At 61.4% G+C, this 14,585-nt stretch overlaps 1 protein-coding gene across 2 annotated transcripts, besides 4 other annotated features; it reads left to right on the top strand.

Moving 5' to 3' along the window:
- Positions 5–194: a silencer, noted in NCBI's record as "silent region_9728". NCBI's record gives its function as "represses an Ori minimal core promoter by ATAC-STARR-seq in GM12878 lymphoblastoid cells {active_cell/tissue: GM12878}" and the evidence as "EXISTENCE:reporter gene assay evidence [ECO:0000049][PMID:35858748]".
- MEX3D (mex-3 RNA binding family member D) lies at positions 194–13,847 on the top strand. Of its 2 annotated transcripts, NM_001174118.2 has the most exons (3): positions 194–1,055; positions 11,596–12,942; positions 13,130–13,847. In NM_001174118.2, exons 1-3 carry the CDS (start codon positions 461–463, stop codon positions 13,186–13,188), a joined length of 2,001 nt encoding a protein of 666 aa, NP_001167589.1. In that variant the 5' UTR covers positions 194–460; the 3' UTR covers positions 13,189–13,847. The 2 variants fall into 2 exon arrangements, with proteins under 2 accessions (NP_001167589.1, NP_976049.3); NM_203304.4 differs by having other exon boundaries at positions 11,596–13,847.
- Positions 6,676–7,503: an enhancer, noted in NCBI's record as "H3K27ac-H3K4me1 hESC enhancer chr19:1561015-1561842 (GRCh37/hg19 assembly coordinates)". NCBI's record gives its function as "activates a minimal SCP1, AML or CMV promoter by ChIP-STARR-seq in naive H9 embryonic stem cells {active_cell/tissue: H9 hESC(naive)}" and the evidence as "EXISTENCE:reporter gene assay evidence [ECO:0000049][PMID:30033119]".
- Positions 6,676–7,529: a biological region, named in NCBI's record as "Sharpr-MPRA regulatory region 1835".
- Positions 7,235–7,529: a silencer, noted in NCBI's record as "tiled region #1835; HepG2 Repressive non-DNase unmatched - State 15:Elon, and K562 Repressive non-DNase unmatched - State 14:Gen5'". NCBI's record gives its function as "represses a minimal TATA promoter and a strong SV40 promoter by Sharpr-MPRA in HepG2 and K562 cells {active_cell/tissue: HepG2 | K562}" and the evidence as "EXISTENCE:reporter gene assay evidence [ECO:0000049][PMID:27701403]".
- Positions 13,848–14,585: the final 738 nt, after the last annotated feature.

Below are 14,585 nucleotides of genomic sequence, written 5' to 3'. Positions count from 1 at the left end.
CGCCCGGGTTCCCGCCCGAGCGCCGGGCGGAGGCGGGGCCTGGACCACGTGCCCGGCGCCGGCCCCGCCCCGGCCCCGCCCCGCGCGCCTGCGCCCTGGGGGCCGCCCATTGTTGGGCCGCGGCGTGACGTCGCGGGGGCGGGGCCGGGGCGGGGCCGCGGGAGGCGGCGGGAGGGAAGGAGCGTCCCGCGCCGCCGCCGCCGCCTCGGCCGCCGAGGAGCCGCCGCCGCCGTCGCCGCCGCCGCCGAGCCGCAGCCAGAGTCGCTGCCGCCGCCCGGCCCGGCCCGGCCCGGCCCCGAGCAGCCCCGCGCCGCCGCCGCCCCGCCCGCCCGGCCCCCCGTGCCCGCCCCCGCCGCTGGATGCAGGCGGCCGGCGGCCCAGCTCGCAGAGGCGGAGGGCGGCGCGGGCGGCGGCGGCGGCGCGGGCGGCAGGAGCGCGGGCCCCAGCGCTAGCTCCCGCCATGCCCAGCTCGCTCGGCCAGCCCGACGGCGGCGGGGGCGGGGGCGGCGGCGGCGGCGGCGTGGGGGCGGCGGGGGAGGACCCCGGACCCGGACCTGCGCCCCCGCCCGAGGGCGCCCAGGAGGCCGCGCCCGCGCCCCGGCCGCCGCCCGAACCCGACGACGCGGCCGCCGCGCTCCGCCTGGCGCTGGACCAGCTGTCGGCGCTCGGGCTGGGGGGCGCTGGCGACACGGACGAGGAGGGGGCGGCCGGGGACGGCGCAGCGGCGGCGGGGGGCGCGGACGGCGGGGCGGCTCCGGAGCCTGTGCCCCCCGACGGACCTGAGGCCGGCGCGCCCCCGACCCTGGCCCCCGCCGTGGCCCCCGGGTCGCTGCCGCTGCTGGACCCCAACGCGAGTCCCCCGCCGCCGCCGCCGCCCCGGCCGTCGCCCCCCGACGTGTTCGCGGGCTTCGCGCCCCACCCCGCGGCCCTGGGGCCCCCGACGCTGCTGGCCGACCAGATGAGCGTGATCGGCAGCCGCAAGAAAAGCGTCAACATGACCGAGTGCGTCCCGGTGCCCAGCTCCGAGCACGTCGCCGAGATCGTGGGTCGCCAGGGTGAGTGGCCCTCGTCGGGGGTTGCTGTCCTGGGGGTCCCCGCACCGTCCGCCCCGGGGAAGGGGGTCGCCCGAGCCCAGCCCAGCCCGCGCCGGACGCCCCGCACCGGACACGCCCCGCGTGGGCTCCGGCCTCGGCCGCTGCCTTTGCGCCTTTGTCCTGCAGCCGCCGCGGGAGAAAGTTGGGCGCAGCCCGCGCTCCTCCCCTGCGCGCTCCGGCCCCGCCGCCGCCTTTGTCTGGGCCGCCTCCAGCCCGGAAAGGCTCCGGGGAGCCGCGCCGCAGCCCAGGCCCTCGGCCGCCCGCAGGGGCACCCCAGAGAGGGGCTCGAGGGCCCGGGGCTCCGGCCGGGCGGGGGGCGCCCCACACCCAGCACAGGCGGCGGGGCGGGGCAAGCGCAGGTTTAGGGGTGGCTTAGGGGGGCCGCCTGCAGGACCGGGAGAGAAGGCTGACAGTACAAAGAGCGCACGTCTCAGTCTCCAGCCTGGGGCCCTGACTGGGGTGGGGACGGGACCGGGCAGGAGAGGGTCCCTGCTCCACTCTCTGGCCCCGAGTCAGGGATTTCGGGGCCTGGGGAAGGACCGGCTGTCAAAGCCACTTCTGGGGTGCAGCCTGCTGGGCAGGCCGGCGGGCGGCAGGCCCCGGGTGTGGGGTCCAGCGGTGGCATCGTCGGAGCTTCCCTCTGGCCGCCCCATTGTTCTCTTTGTTAGAGAGCGAGGCTGAGATTTGCAGGGTGACATCAGGCCGGCCGCTGCTCATTGGCCCCCGAGCTGCGGGGCGGGCGGGCGGGTGGTGGGCAGTGCCTGGCCCAGCTCACACCCACCACCCCGTTAGCCACCCGCCCGCCTGCCTCCCTCAACTTTCTCCTGCCTTCCCGCCACCCCTCCCCGCTCCTGGGTCCCCGCTGACCGCCAGTGATCAGCCAGGTTCTAGAACTTGGGGTGGGGCCTTGGCGGGGCTGGTGGTGGGGCCGCAGGACACTTGGGCTGGGGGTCCCTGCCTCCCCGGGGCCCTCGGGAATCCAGGCCAGAGAAAGGTGTGGGGGGCTGGGATTGCAAGGTCATCTATGGCCCTGGCCTCAGGCGGGGGACCACCAGGGCGCCCTCCCCTCCGCCCTTTCCCTCGGTCCAGGTGGGTGGGGCACCACAGCCTCCTGTCTTTTGGTCGTTCATTTGTCCAGCTCATGTGGGGACCCACGGAGGGTCAGGCATGGTGCTGGCCCCAGGAAGCATGCTCTGGAGTGGTGGGTGGGGAGGGACTGGGTTCTGTCTCAGTCCTGCTGGCTGCCCTTGGTGGGACCCCCTGGCAGGAGGGCGCCCTACCATCCTGTTACTGCCTCCCCATTGAGGCCTTCCACCCGGCCTCCATGTCCCATACCCAGGGCCTAGAACGGGACAGCTGCCCTGTGCGGAGTGTCTGGGAGCCTGTGGAGACAGGCGTCCAAGCCGAGGCCTGGGGACCAAGTGACCAAAGGCACGAGCCTGAGCCTCCAGGTGGTGGAGGCTGTGGCTGTGTTCTTTGTGAACGCGCTTGTCCTGGCACCCAAGGGCCTTTGAGCGAGGCTATGGCCACATGGGGAGCTGGCAGGAATCAGCGTCAGGCTGAGAGCTTCTAGACCTGTGGCCTCAGGGTGGGAATTCTCTAGGGGCAGGTCCATGGGAAATGGAGTCTGTGGGCACCAGGCTCAGCCCCCACCTCTGGCCTGTGCGTTCTGCACCCACTTACTGGGCTCTTGCTGGTGGCCGTCAGCAAGGCAGGCCCTGGGGTACAGTGGGGGTCGGGGGTAGAGTGGGCCCTGATTGCTTGTCCTGCAGGCCGCCGTGGCCCTGCGCAGATGACGGCCCCTCTCTGTGATGTGCGGACGTCTCACCTCCATTAGGGTAGAGGATTCTGGGGCAAGATGCTGGTTTTATTTATTTATTTATGAGACGGAGTTTCGCTCTGTCGCCCAGGCTGGAGTGCAGTGACGTGATCTGGGCTCACTGCAAACTCCGCCTTCTGGTTTCAAGCAGTTCTCCTGCCTCAGCCTCCTGAGTAGCTGGGATTACAAGTGTGAGCCACCACGCTCAGCTGATTTTTGTATTTTTAGTAGAGACGGGGTTTCACCATGTTGTCCAGGCTGGTCTCGAACTCCCGACCTCAAGTGATCCGCCCACCTCCACCTCCCAAAGTGCTGAGATTACAGGCGTGAGCCACTGCGCACGGCCAGTTTTATTTATTTGTTTTTATTATAAAGTTTTTCTTGTAGAGACAGGGTCTTGCTCTGTTGCTCAGGCTGGTCTTGAACTCCTGGCCTCAAGCGATCCTCAGCCACCCAAAGTGCTGGGGTTCCTACAGGTGTGAGCCACTATGCCTGGACCCAAGTTGCTGGTTTTAATCCCAGCTCCAGGTCACACACAGTGGCCACCCCATAAGTGGAGTGCGCGTTGCCAGGGATGCAACTGTGGATGCCAGGACAGGTTGGCAGCTTCAGTAGTCCTTACGTCTTCCACAGCTTCGGTAGTCTGTACTTCTTCCACACTGTAGAACCATCTGTGGCTCCCAGCTTCTCCCACCCACCCCGTTCTCAAGCATACCTTTCAATGTCCTTTGTGCCCCGGCCCTGCCCCTTTACTCACCTTCCTCTCCACCCTGGGGCTCTCTGAACTTCTCATGCTTCTCTGTCAAACCCAAGCTCCAAGGTTACCCCTTCCCTGGAGGCCAGGAAGGGTGCACCTGTCCGGCCTCCCCACCTAGACAAGAGTCACACAGGCCTGGCACCAGCCCTCTCCCCAGTAGCTACGTGCTGTTCTCTGAGCTTCAGTTCTCTTGATCCTAGAGGGGGTCCGAGTGCTTTCTGGGCAGACTGTGGTCATTCAAACCCTCTGAGTTCCCACCCATCTGCTGGAGGCTCCAGTTCATTCATTTGCTATATCTTTTTTTTTTTTTTTTTTTGGGATGGAGTCTCGCTCTGTTGCCCAGGCTGGAGTGCAATGGCACGATCCCGGTTCACTGCAAGCTCCACCTCCCAGGTTCAAGCGATCCTCCTGCCTCAGCCCCCCTAGTATGTGGGATTACAGGCACGTGCCACTATGCCCAGCTGGTTTTTGTATTTTCAGTAGAGACGGGGTTTCGCCATGTTGGCCAGGCTGGTCTCACACTCCTGACCTCAGGTGATCCACCCACCTCAGCCTCCCAGAGTGCTGGGACTACAGGTGTGAGCCACTGCGCCTGGCCATTGGCTAGATCTTTATTGAGGGTCTACTGTGTGCTAAGCCTATGCCAGACTTGACCTGCCCCATCTCACTGAGGCCCATAATGTGCCCCAGGAAAGGTCCTGCAGCTCCCAGGTCACAGATGGGGAGGCAGAGGCTGCAAGAGGTAAAGAATAGGTAAAAACTGAGGGGATAGCAGCACTCAGAGAGGCTGAGGCAGGAGGATCCCTCGAGCCTAGGAATCGAGACCAGCCCGGCCAACATGGCGAAACCCTGTCTCTACAAAAAAAAAAATACAAAAATTAGGCATGGTGGCACACTCCTGCAGCCCCAGCTACTCTGGAGGCTGAGGCAGGAGGATTACTTGAGCCTGGGCGGTCGAGGCTGCAGTGAGCTATGATCTTGTCACCGCTCTCCAGTCTAGGCAACAAAGCAAGACCCTGTCTCCAAAACAAAACAAAAATCATGGGCTGGGATTCAAACCCAGTTTCTCTGGTGGGTCAGCAAAGAAAATTTCAGATTCCAAAGCTTGAGGGCTGGGGGTGAGGGGAGGCAGCCCTGTCTGGGAGACAGGCAAAGTGGAGACCCAAAAGCACAGGCGTCTCCCTCCAGCCGGCCAGCAAAGGTGCTCTAGGGGACCTCCGGCCCTGCTCCTGCTGAGACCCCAACATGTACCCTCCTTTCTCACCCCGCTTGCCAGGCACCCTGGGTGAATCTGTGCTCCGTGGCAGCCTCTCCCCCTGCATGTTCCCAGGGACAGGAACCAGGGCAGGTGCTTGGTCATGGTTGGGTCTTCAGTGTCTTGCCAGGGCCTGTACACAGAAGGTGTTCTGTGGCTAATGAATGAATGAATGAGTGAGTGATGTTGAAGGCAGGGCCTGGACTGGAAGCTGCTCAGGGCTCGCTCTCTCTGCTGTCGGCACAGGCTAAGGCTAGTGATTTTAGGTTGTTCCCCTCAGCTGGGGGCGACCCCTGGCTCACTGTCTCCCCTCCTGTCCCTTGTTCCTGGCTGCAGCCCCAGAGGCTCCTCTTCTCCTCCCATCCCCGCAGGCCCCAGGTTTTCCCGACAGCTGGGGACAGTGCTGGGGTGTTGGTGGGGACCATGCCATGGTTTTCCTGTCCATACACTGCAGAGCCCTAGGAAGAAAGGCTCTGCTAGGAAACCTCCACACTGCAGACCCAACTGAGAGTTCTGGCGTTAGTACAGTGTACATGTTCCCTTCATTCCCCGAGAGGTTTTTTTCTTTTCATTTTGAGACAGGGTCTTGCTCTTGTCGCCCAGGCTGGAGTACAGTGGCTCAGTCTCGGCTCACTGCAGCCTCCACCTCCCAGGTTCAAGCAGTTCTTTCACCTCAGCCTCCCGAGTAGCTGGGATTACAGGTATCTGCCACCACCACGCCAGGCTCATTTTTGTATTTTTAGTAGAGACGGGGTTTCGCCATGTTGGCCAGGCCGGTCTCGAACTCCTGACCTCAGGTCATCCGCCTGCCTCCACCTCCCAAAGTGCTGGGATTACAGGTGTGAGTCACCACGCCTAGCGGTTTCTTGTTGTTGTTGTTTTGTTTTGTTGTTTTTGAGACAGGGTCTGGTTCTGTTGCTCTGTCCTGAGTGCAGTGGTGTGATTGTAGCTCACTGCAGCCTCAACCTCCTGGGCTCAGACGATCCTCCCACCTCTGCCTCCCAAGTAGCTGGGACCACAGGTGCGCACCAACACACCCAGCTAATTTTCTTTTCTTTTCTTTTCTTTTGAGGCGGAGTCTCACTCTGTCGCCCAGGCTGGAGTGCAGTGGTGCAATCTCGGCTCACTGCAAGCTCTGCCTCCCGGGTTCAAGCGATTCTCCTGCCTCAGCCTCCCGAGTAACTGGGATTACAGGCGCCCGCCACCACGCCCGGCTAATTTTTGTATTTTTAGTGGAGATGGGGTTTCACCATGTTGGTCAGTCTGGTCTCGAACTCCTGACCTCGTGATCCACTGTGCCCGGTCCACACCTGGCTAATTTTTTTTTTTTTTTGAGACGGAGTCTCACTCTGTCGCCCAGGCTAGAGTGCAGTGGCGCGATCTCAGCTCACTGCAACCTCCATCTCCCAGGTTCACGCCATTCTTCTGCCTCAGCCTCCCAAGTAGCTGGGACTACAGGCGCCCACCACCACACCCGGCTAATTTTTTGTATTTTTAGTAGAGACGGGGTTTCACCGTGTTAGCTAGGATGGTCTTGATCTCCTGACCTCGTGATCCACCCATTTTGGCCTCCCAAAGTGCTGGGATTACAGGTGTGAGCCACCGTGCCCGGCCACACCTGGCTAATTTTTAAAAATTTTTTGTAGAGGCCGGATATGGTGGCTCACACCTGTAATCCTAGCACTTTGGGAGGCTGAGATGGGAGGATCACCTGAGCCCAAGAGTTCCAGACCAGCCTGGGCAACATAATAAGACCCTGTCTCTGCAGAAAAGCTTTAAACAATTAGCCGGGGGTGGTGGTGCATAACTGTAGTCCCAGCTACTCGGGAGGCTGAGGTGAGAGGATGGCTTGAGCCCAGGAGGTCAAGGCTGCAGTGAGCTGTGACTGCACTCCAGCCTGGGCGACAGGTGACACCCTTTATAGAGACAGGATCTTGCTATGTTGCCCAGGCTGGTCTCGAACTCCTGGCCTCAAGTGATCCTCCTGCCTTGGCCTCCCAAAGTGCCGGAACTACGTACGGGTGTGAGCCACTGTTCCTGGCCTGGGAGGGGGTTTTGACATCCCTGTTTGACAGCTGAACCAGCTTCCCTCCTCCCCACCAGACCCCTCAGCTCCCGCTGGCTTCCATAGTGGCCCAGGTCTGGGATGCTGCTGTCCCGCGTCACCCGGCTGCCTGGCTGGGGGCGGCTGCGTGTTGGACTGAGTGTTGGCTGTGAGGCCTTGTTCTCGCCCCGTCCTGCTTCTAGAATCCTGTCCTTGCTGTTGCCTCAGCGGCTCCCTGGGGTTCACATTCCCCTTCCTGCCATGGCAAACCCATCCAGCCTGGGCTGGTGGCCTCGGCTCCCACACCAGGACTTGTGGTTTCATTGGTAAGTCGTAGTGCACGGTCATTGCAGCCAGGACCCTGGACGGGCTGGATGAGTGATGCCCGCTGGTGTGTGTGCTGCGTGGGGCCCTGGTAGGGGGAGACTTGGCTGCTGTGGGTTGGGGGTGTGGGACAGGTCAGGGCCAGACTCTGGGGTGGTCACCCCGATTCCCAGGCATCTCAAGCCCTCCGAGTTGGAATTCTGGGGACATGGCCCACGAATCTGCATTTCAGTGCCTGCCAACCTTCGGTGTCCCCCAGAGCCCGCCCTTCAGGCTTCCTGTCCCTCTAGCCTCGCTGTGTCATTTCCAGTGGGGCAGGGGTGGGCTGGGATCACTCCTGGAGCCCCGATTCCTTGGCCCCTTGGCGTCTTGATGTGGGTGGAGTTTTGGGGGCCAGCACGTGTCAAAGCAGACGCAGCACCAATGAATTGAGCTCCAGCTCCGTCTTTGAGGTCCTAGAGGCCTTCTAGCTGTGAGGTCTCCACCCAGCGCCACCGTCTGGGTTAGGGCAGGATGGAGTAAGGGGAGGGGGAGGCGCCAGTTCCCTCCCCTGCCCCGACGCACGCGTGGCTCCCAGCACCATCCTGGTTTCTGCTCAGACAGTCACACGCCCCCTTCCTTGCCACCTCCATCTCCCAAATTTGTCATCTCACCCAGACCAGACTTTCTGTGACCACAGCCTGTGAGCTCAGCGGTGGCCACGTCGGGGCAGCCTCTCCCACGTGTGACCCTCTGGGGACCCGGGGCGGCTCCCAGATCAGCAAGGGAGGACCCCATGCTGCACCCTGGCAACGCTGGCGGGCTCTGCCCTCTGCCGGGTCGGCGTGATGGGGAACAGGCTCACTTCCTGCCTGTGGGCAGGGCCAGCGGAGCCTCCATCTGTGGGTGGCACCTCCTTCCCCAGCCTTGCTGGGTCTCCACTCCCTGTGCCTCAGTTTCCCTTCCTCAAGGAGGATCTATCTAAAGCAAACACTGTGGGCTGCAGTGAGACCTGCCAGGGTGGCTGCCAGGAGCCAACGGCCTGGTCATGGCCCTCTGAGGGCCTGTGAAGCCGGGCCTGTGAAGCCAGGCCTGTTACCTTCCCCTTTCACAGTGAAGAAACAGGCATAGCAAGGTCCCCCAAGTGCCGAGGGAATCCCCAGCCCCATCCTCCAGCCTCAGGGAGGCAGCTCAGAGAGTCAGGCATGTTAGGAGAGACTCAGAAGAGCAGGCCCAACCCGATGCAGTCAGGGTGGGCTTCCTGGAGGAGGGGGACACCGGACTGTACAGAAGAATGGAGGGGACTGGGTGCAATGGAGGTGAACAGAATGCTGCGACTGGGAGGGACAGGTGTGGTGGCAGTGCAGCTGGGGCGGGAAAACTGCTGTCCTCCTCCGAGTGGGTGCACCCCCGCCACCCCTCCCAGGGTCCTCCCTACCGAGCCCCTGGGACCACCAGCCTCCAGGTCCCACGCCTTCCATCTTCCTGGCCCAGGCAGTTTCTGACTTCTTCCCCGTCAAAAGTGCTGATCCTGCTCATTTCATCTCTTGCACTGTGGGAGAGTTAGCAACACTGTTTTCCCCTCAGAGCCACCTTCTGACTGTATTGAAACATCCCTGCAGCTCCCTCTGCTTCCCCAGAGCCTGAGGGGTTGTGAGCAGTGGCTCAAAACTCCTTCACGGGCCGGGCGCAGTGGCCCACACCTGTCATCCCAGCACTTTGGGAGGCCGAGGCAGGAGGACTGCTTGAGCCCAAGAATTTGAAACCAGCCTGGGCAATATAGTGAGATCCCATCTCTACTAAAAATAAAAATAGGCCGGGCGTGGTGGCTCACGCCTGTAATCCCAGCACTTTGGGAGGCCAAGGCAGGTGGATCACCTGAGGTCAGGAGTTCAAGACCAGCCTGGCCAACATGGTGCAATCCCATCTGTACTAAAAATAAAAAAAATTAGCTGGGTGTGGTGGTGGGCGCCTGTAATCCCAGCTACTCAGGAAGCTGAGGCAGGAGAATTGTTTGAACCTAGGAGGCAGAGGTTGCAGTGAGCCGAGATGGTACCACTGCACTCCAGCCTGGGCAACAAGAGCAAAACTCCGTCTCAATAACTAATTAAGCTGGGCATGGTGGTGCCAGCTCTGGAGGCTGAGGTGGGAGGATCACTTGAGCCCAGGAGTTGAAGGCTGCAGTGAGCTATGATCACACCACTGCACTCCAGCCTGGGTAACAAGAGTGAGATAATCTCAAAAAAGGAAAAGAAAAAAAAAAAAACCATTAAGGCCCCAGGGGTGGGGTAGGGATGTCTGGGACCCCAAGAAGGCCATACCTGGTCAGCGGTTGCCTACACAATCGGTGAGGAGAGCCCTGCCTCCCACACTGACACTCATGTCCCTCACCAGGTCAGACCCCCAGCCCAGCCAACAAGAACAAAGCCACAGCAGGCCCCTCAGGGCCCACCTGGATGCCTCGGAGGCATCTGGAGTCAGGGTGCGGGCGTCTGCAGTCGGGCCGAGACCTCGGCTCCCCTTAGGCCAGGGTCTTGGTAGCCTAGGGAGGGTCATTTGGCCGGAAGAAAATTGTAGGCAGTTTCCACAATCTGAATTTCGGCTTCCCCTCCTGTTGGGCCGGGAGGTGGTGTCAGAGGGTCTCCAGTTGCTCTCTGGGCTGACACAATGGGGGCTTGAAACCATGGAAACGTCTCCTCTCTCATTTCTGTAAGATAAAAGTTCCAAGTCAAGGTGTGGGCAGGGCGGGGGGCGCCTTCAGTTTCCGGGGGCTATGGCCAGTCCTTGGCTTGTAGAGACATCACTGCAGTCTCTGTCTGTGTCTCCACAAGGCCAGCTTCTCTGTGTGTGTGTGTCTTTTTTTTTTTTTTCCTTCTTTTTTTGAGACAAGGCTTTGCTCTGTCACCCAGGCTGAAGTGCAGTGGTGTGATCATAGCTCACTGCAGCCTCCACCTCCCGGGCTCAGGTGATCCTCCCACTTCAGCCTCCTGAGTAGCTAAGACTACAGGTGTGTACCACCACACCTGGCTAATTTTTTGTTGTTGTTTGTAGTAGAGATGGGGTCCTGCTGTGTTGCCCAGGCTGGTCTCAAACTCCTGGGCTCCAGTGATCCTCCTGCCTCAGATTCCCGAAGTACTAGGATTACGGGTGTGAGCCACTGACCCTGCCACTGTGGCTCTTTTTTTTTTTTTTTTTTTGAAATGGAGTCTTGGTCTGTGGCTAGGCTGGAGTGCAGTGGCATGATGTTGGCTCACTGCACCCTCCACCTCCTGAGTTCAGGCGGTTCTGCCTCAGCCCTCCCCAGTGGCTGGGATTACAGGCGTGCGCCACCACACCTTGCTAATTGCGGCTTTTTTTTTTTTTTTTTTTTTTTTTTTTTTTTTTTTTTGAGACAGTCTCGCTCTGTCACCCAGGCTGGAGTGCAATGGTGTGCGATCTCGGCTCACTGCAGTCTCTGCCTCCCAGGTTCAAGCGATTCTTCCGCCTCAGCCTCCCGAGTACCTGGGACTACAGATGCCTGCCACCACGCCTGGCTAATTTTTTGTATTTTAGTAGAGACAGGGTTTCACCATGTTGGCCAGGCTGGTCTTGAGCCCCTGACCTCGTGATCCACCCAACTTGGCCTCCCAAAGTGCTGGGATTACAGGGGTGAGCCACTGCACCCCGCTTTTTTTTTTTTTTTAGTTGGAGTCTTGCTTTGTCGTCCAGGCTGGGGTGCAGTGGTGCAATCTTGGCTCACTGCAACCTTCGTCTCCTGGGTTCAAGTGATTCTCCTGCCTCAGCCTCCCAAGTACCTGGGACTACAGGTGCCTGCCGCTACACCCGGATGATTGCTTGTATTTTTAGTAGAGACAGGGTTTCACCATGTTGGCCAGGCTGGTTTGGAACTCCTGACCTCAAGTGATCCACCTGCCTCGGCCTCCCAAAGTGCTGGGATTACATGGGTGAGCCACGGGCCCAGCCGACCCTACGTATTAAATTAATACTGTCAACGCCGCATATTAGGGTCCAGCTTGTGAACTTGGGGGAAACATTCACACCCCAGCCGTCACACTGCGGTTCCAGGGGAACATAAATTATGGCGCACACCTTTCAACCTAAAACAGGGTCCCCTTGCCGTCTTGCTTTTAGGCCAAACTCGAGCCCAGAGGGGAAACTGAGGCTGAGGGAAGAAGGGACGTGGCGTGTCTGAGGATAAAGTGTTGTTGGGCACAGGCTGGGAGGTAGGGGCTCCCTCACTGGCCCTGCAGCCTGCATGCCCAGCGGGGCTGAGCTGCGCAGGGGGCTCTGGGTCACCTTGTCCTTCCCCTCCCTCCCGGACAGGCTGCAAGATCAAGGCCCTGCGGGCCAAGACAAACACCTACATCAAGACCCCAGTGCGGGGCGAGGAGCCGGTCTTCATCGTGACCGGCCGGAAGGAGGACGTGGAGATGGCCAAGCGTGAGATCCTGTCGGCGGCCGAACACTTCTCCATCATCCGCGCCACGCGCAGCAAGGCCGGGGGTCTGCCCGGCGCCGCCCAGGGCCCGCCCAACCTTCCCGGACAGACCACCATCCAGGTGCGCGTGCCCTACCGGGTGGTGGGGCTGGTGGTGGGGCCCAAGGGCGCCACCATCAAGCGCATCCAGCAGCGGACGCACACCTACATCGTGACGCCCGGGCGCGACAAGGAGCCGGTGTTCGCGGTCACTGGGATGCCCGAGAACGTGGACCGCGCGCGCGAGGAGATCGAGGCGCACATCACGCTGCGCACTGGCGCCTTCACCGACGCGGGCCCCGACAGCGACTTCCACGCCAACGGCACCGACGTCTGCCTGGACCTGCTCGGGGCGGCCGCCAGCCTCTGGGCCAAGACCCCCAACCAGGGACGACGGCCCCCCACGGCCACGGCCGGCCTCCGCGGGGACACGGCCCTGGGCGCCCCCAGCGCCCCCGAGGCCTTCTACGCGGGCAGCCGCGGCGGCCCCTCCGTGCCGGACCCAGGCCCCGCCAGCCCCTACAGCGGCTCCGGCAACGGGGGCTTCGCCTTCGGCGCGGAGGGTCCCGGTGCCCCGGTGGGGACGGCCGCCCCCGACGACTGCGACTTCGGCTTCGACTTCGACTTCCTGGCGCTGGACCTGACCGTGCCCGCCGCGGCCACCATCTGGGCGCCTTTTGAGCGCGCCGCCCCCTTGCCCGCCTTCAGCGGCTGCTCCACGGTCAACGGAGCCCCGGGACCTCCCGCCGCCGGCGCCCGGCGCAGCAGTGGGGCCGGGACCCCCCGCCACTCGCCCACGCTGCCCGAGCCCGGCGGCCTCCGCCTGGAGCTCCCGCTGTCTCGCCGTGGCGCCCCGGACCCGGTGGGCGCGCTGTCCTGGCGACCCCCGCAGGGCCCCGTATCCTTCCCAGGCGGCGCCGCCTTCTCCACGGCCACCTCGCTGCCCAGCAGCCCCGCGGCCGCCGCCTGCGCCCCCCTGGACTCCGGCGCCTCCGAGAACAGCCGCAAGCCCCCTTCGGCGTCCTCGGCCCCGGCCCTGGCGCGAGAGTGCGTGGTGTGCGCCGAGGGCGAGGTGATGGCTGCGCTGGTCCCCTGCGGCCACAACCTCTTCTGCATGGACTGCGCCGTCCGCATCTGCGGCAAGAGCGAGCCCGAGTGTCCCGCCTGCCGCACGCCGGCCACCCAGGCCATTCATATCTTTTCCTAGAGCGCGGACCACCACGTGGCCGGGGCCATCTGCGGGGGCCAGGGGTGGGCGCGGGAGACGGGGCGGGACCCGGGGTGGGAGAGGGACGGGGAGGGGGCGAGGGGCGGAGGCCGAGGGGGCAGGGGGGTGGGCGGCGGCCAGTGTTTACAGATGAGCTTTAACTGCCGCCTCAGGCGTGGAGACGGAGACCCCGCAGCCCGGCGGCGCCTCAGCCCTTCAACGACAGTATTGAGTGGTCAGGTTACAATAAACCGGAGAGAAAAGGTCCGCTTGCACTTTTTTTAGTTTTCTTATTTTTAGACACCCCTCCCCTCCAGGGTGATCTTTAAAAAAGCAAAACAAAAAACACGACTTTTCCAGCGCTCAGCGTTTTTTCCTTTCGTCCGAAGCCGTTTTCTGATTTGACTTTTCTCGCCGGCCGGTCTCAGGCCGCACAGACGTTCCAGAGGAGGAGGGTGACATTTTTACTCCCTTTTTGGGGCTAACCATTTATGCTTTTGTACATCAACCGTGCGCGGCCGGAGGGGGCAGGGGGGCGGGGGCGAGGGGCGTTCCAATCAAATTTCTAACTTTCTGTTAATTATTAATCCCCTTTTTACTGCGGTTTCTGTTGTCATTTTTAAAATTTTTTTAATTTTTTTTTTTTTTTACTTTTACTTTTTACCTCTTGTGTATATGTAGGGAATTTATAGGGAAATATGTACTTTATGGAATAAATTTTAAGAACTAAAATATATTTTATTTTAAATAAAGTAATGGACCTTTAATCTTACACAGCTAAATTACTGATTATATATTTGCTGAGCTGATTTAAGGGTTAAAAAAATTGTATCAAGAGTTTTATTTTTTGACTTCAAAGCCTTCTTAATAAAGCCTCTTTTCTACATGTGAGCACACGGCTTCAGCGTGGTGTGGGGGATGGGCACCAGGAGGGGAGACCCCGGGGCAGGGGACACCCGGATCCAGCCCCTCAACCCCCCAGTTCCGTGGTCCAGGCCCTCACCCCGACCAGGCACTGTCCCTTGTTCCAGACGAAGGAATTGGGTCTGTGGGGGAGGGTCTAGCTGGGCTCCCCGTGAGCAAACCTCAGGTCCTCCCCATCCCTGTGGGTGTTCAACCATGGATCCCACAGAGAAAGGGGACCCAGGCTGTCCTTCCTCAGGGACATCTGCCCAGCTCTCTGGGTGTGTGGGATCCATCCCAACAGACCGTCCAGCGGTCGTGCAGATGGGGAAACTGAGGCCTGGAAATGCCCGTCCCAGGTTTGACCCCGATGCATCCTGGTCTGTGAAGGACGTTTGAGCCGTGGTCATCCCCCCACTGCTCTGGGAGCCATGACAGACACATGGGGCCACCAGATATAGCTCTTCAGGGCTGGGGTTGAGACCACAGGCTCGCCGGGTGCAGTGGCTCTCGCCTGTAATCCCAGCACTTTGGGAGGCCGAGGCAGGTGGATCAGGAGGTCAGGAGATCGAGACCATCCTGGCTAACACGGTGAAACCGCGTCTCTACTAAAAGTACAAAAAAAATTAGCCGGGCGTGGTGGTGGGCGCCTGTGGTCCCAGCTACTTGGGAGGCTGAGGCAGGAGAATGGCGTGAACCCGGGAGACGGAGCTTGTAGTGAGCCGA

The sequence above is a fragment of the Homo sapiens genome, chromosome 19, assembly GCF_000001405.40.
Source record: "Homo sapiens chromosome 19, GRCh38.p14 Primary Assembly".
Lineage (NCBI taxonomy): Eukaryota > Metazoa > Chordata > Mammalia > Primates > Hominidae > Homo > Homo sapiens.
Note: the sequence above shows the minus strand (reverse complement) of the source record. Positions and strands in the feature narration are given on the sequence as shown.

Coding starts and splice junctions, on each gene's coding strand:
- MEX3D (NM_001174118.2), top strand. CDS start 461: ATGCCCAGCTCGCTCGGCCAGCCCGACGGCGGCGGGGGCGGGGGCGGC. Junction 1,056..11,595: donor CGAGATCGTGGGTCGCCAGG/GTGAGTGGCCCT, acceptor CCTCCCGGACAG/GCTGCAAGATCAAGGCCCTG. Junction 12,943..13,129: donor GCCGGCCACCCAGGCCATTC/ATATCTTTTCCT, acceptor CTGCCGCCTCAG/GCGTGGAGACGGAGACCCCG.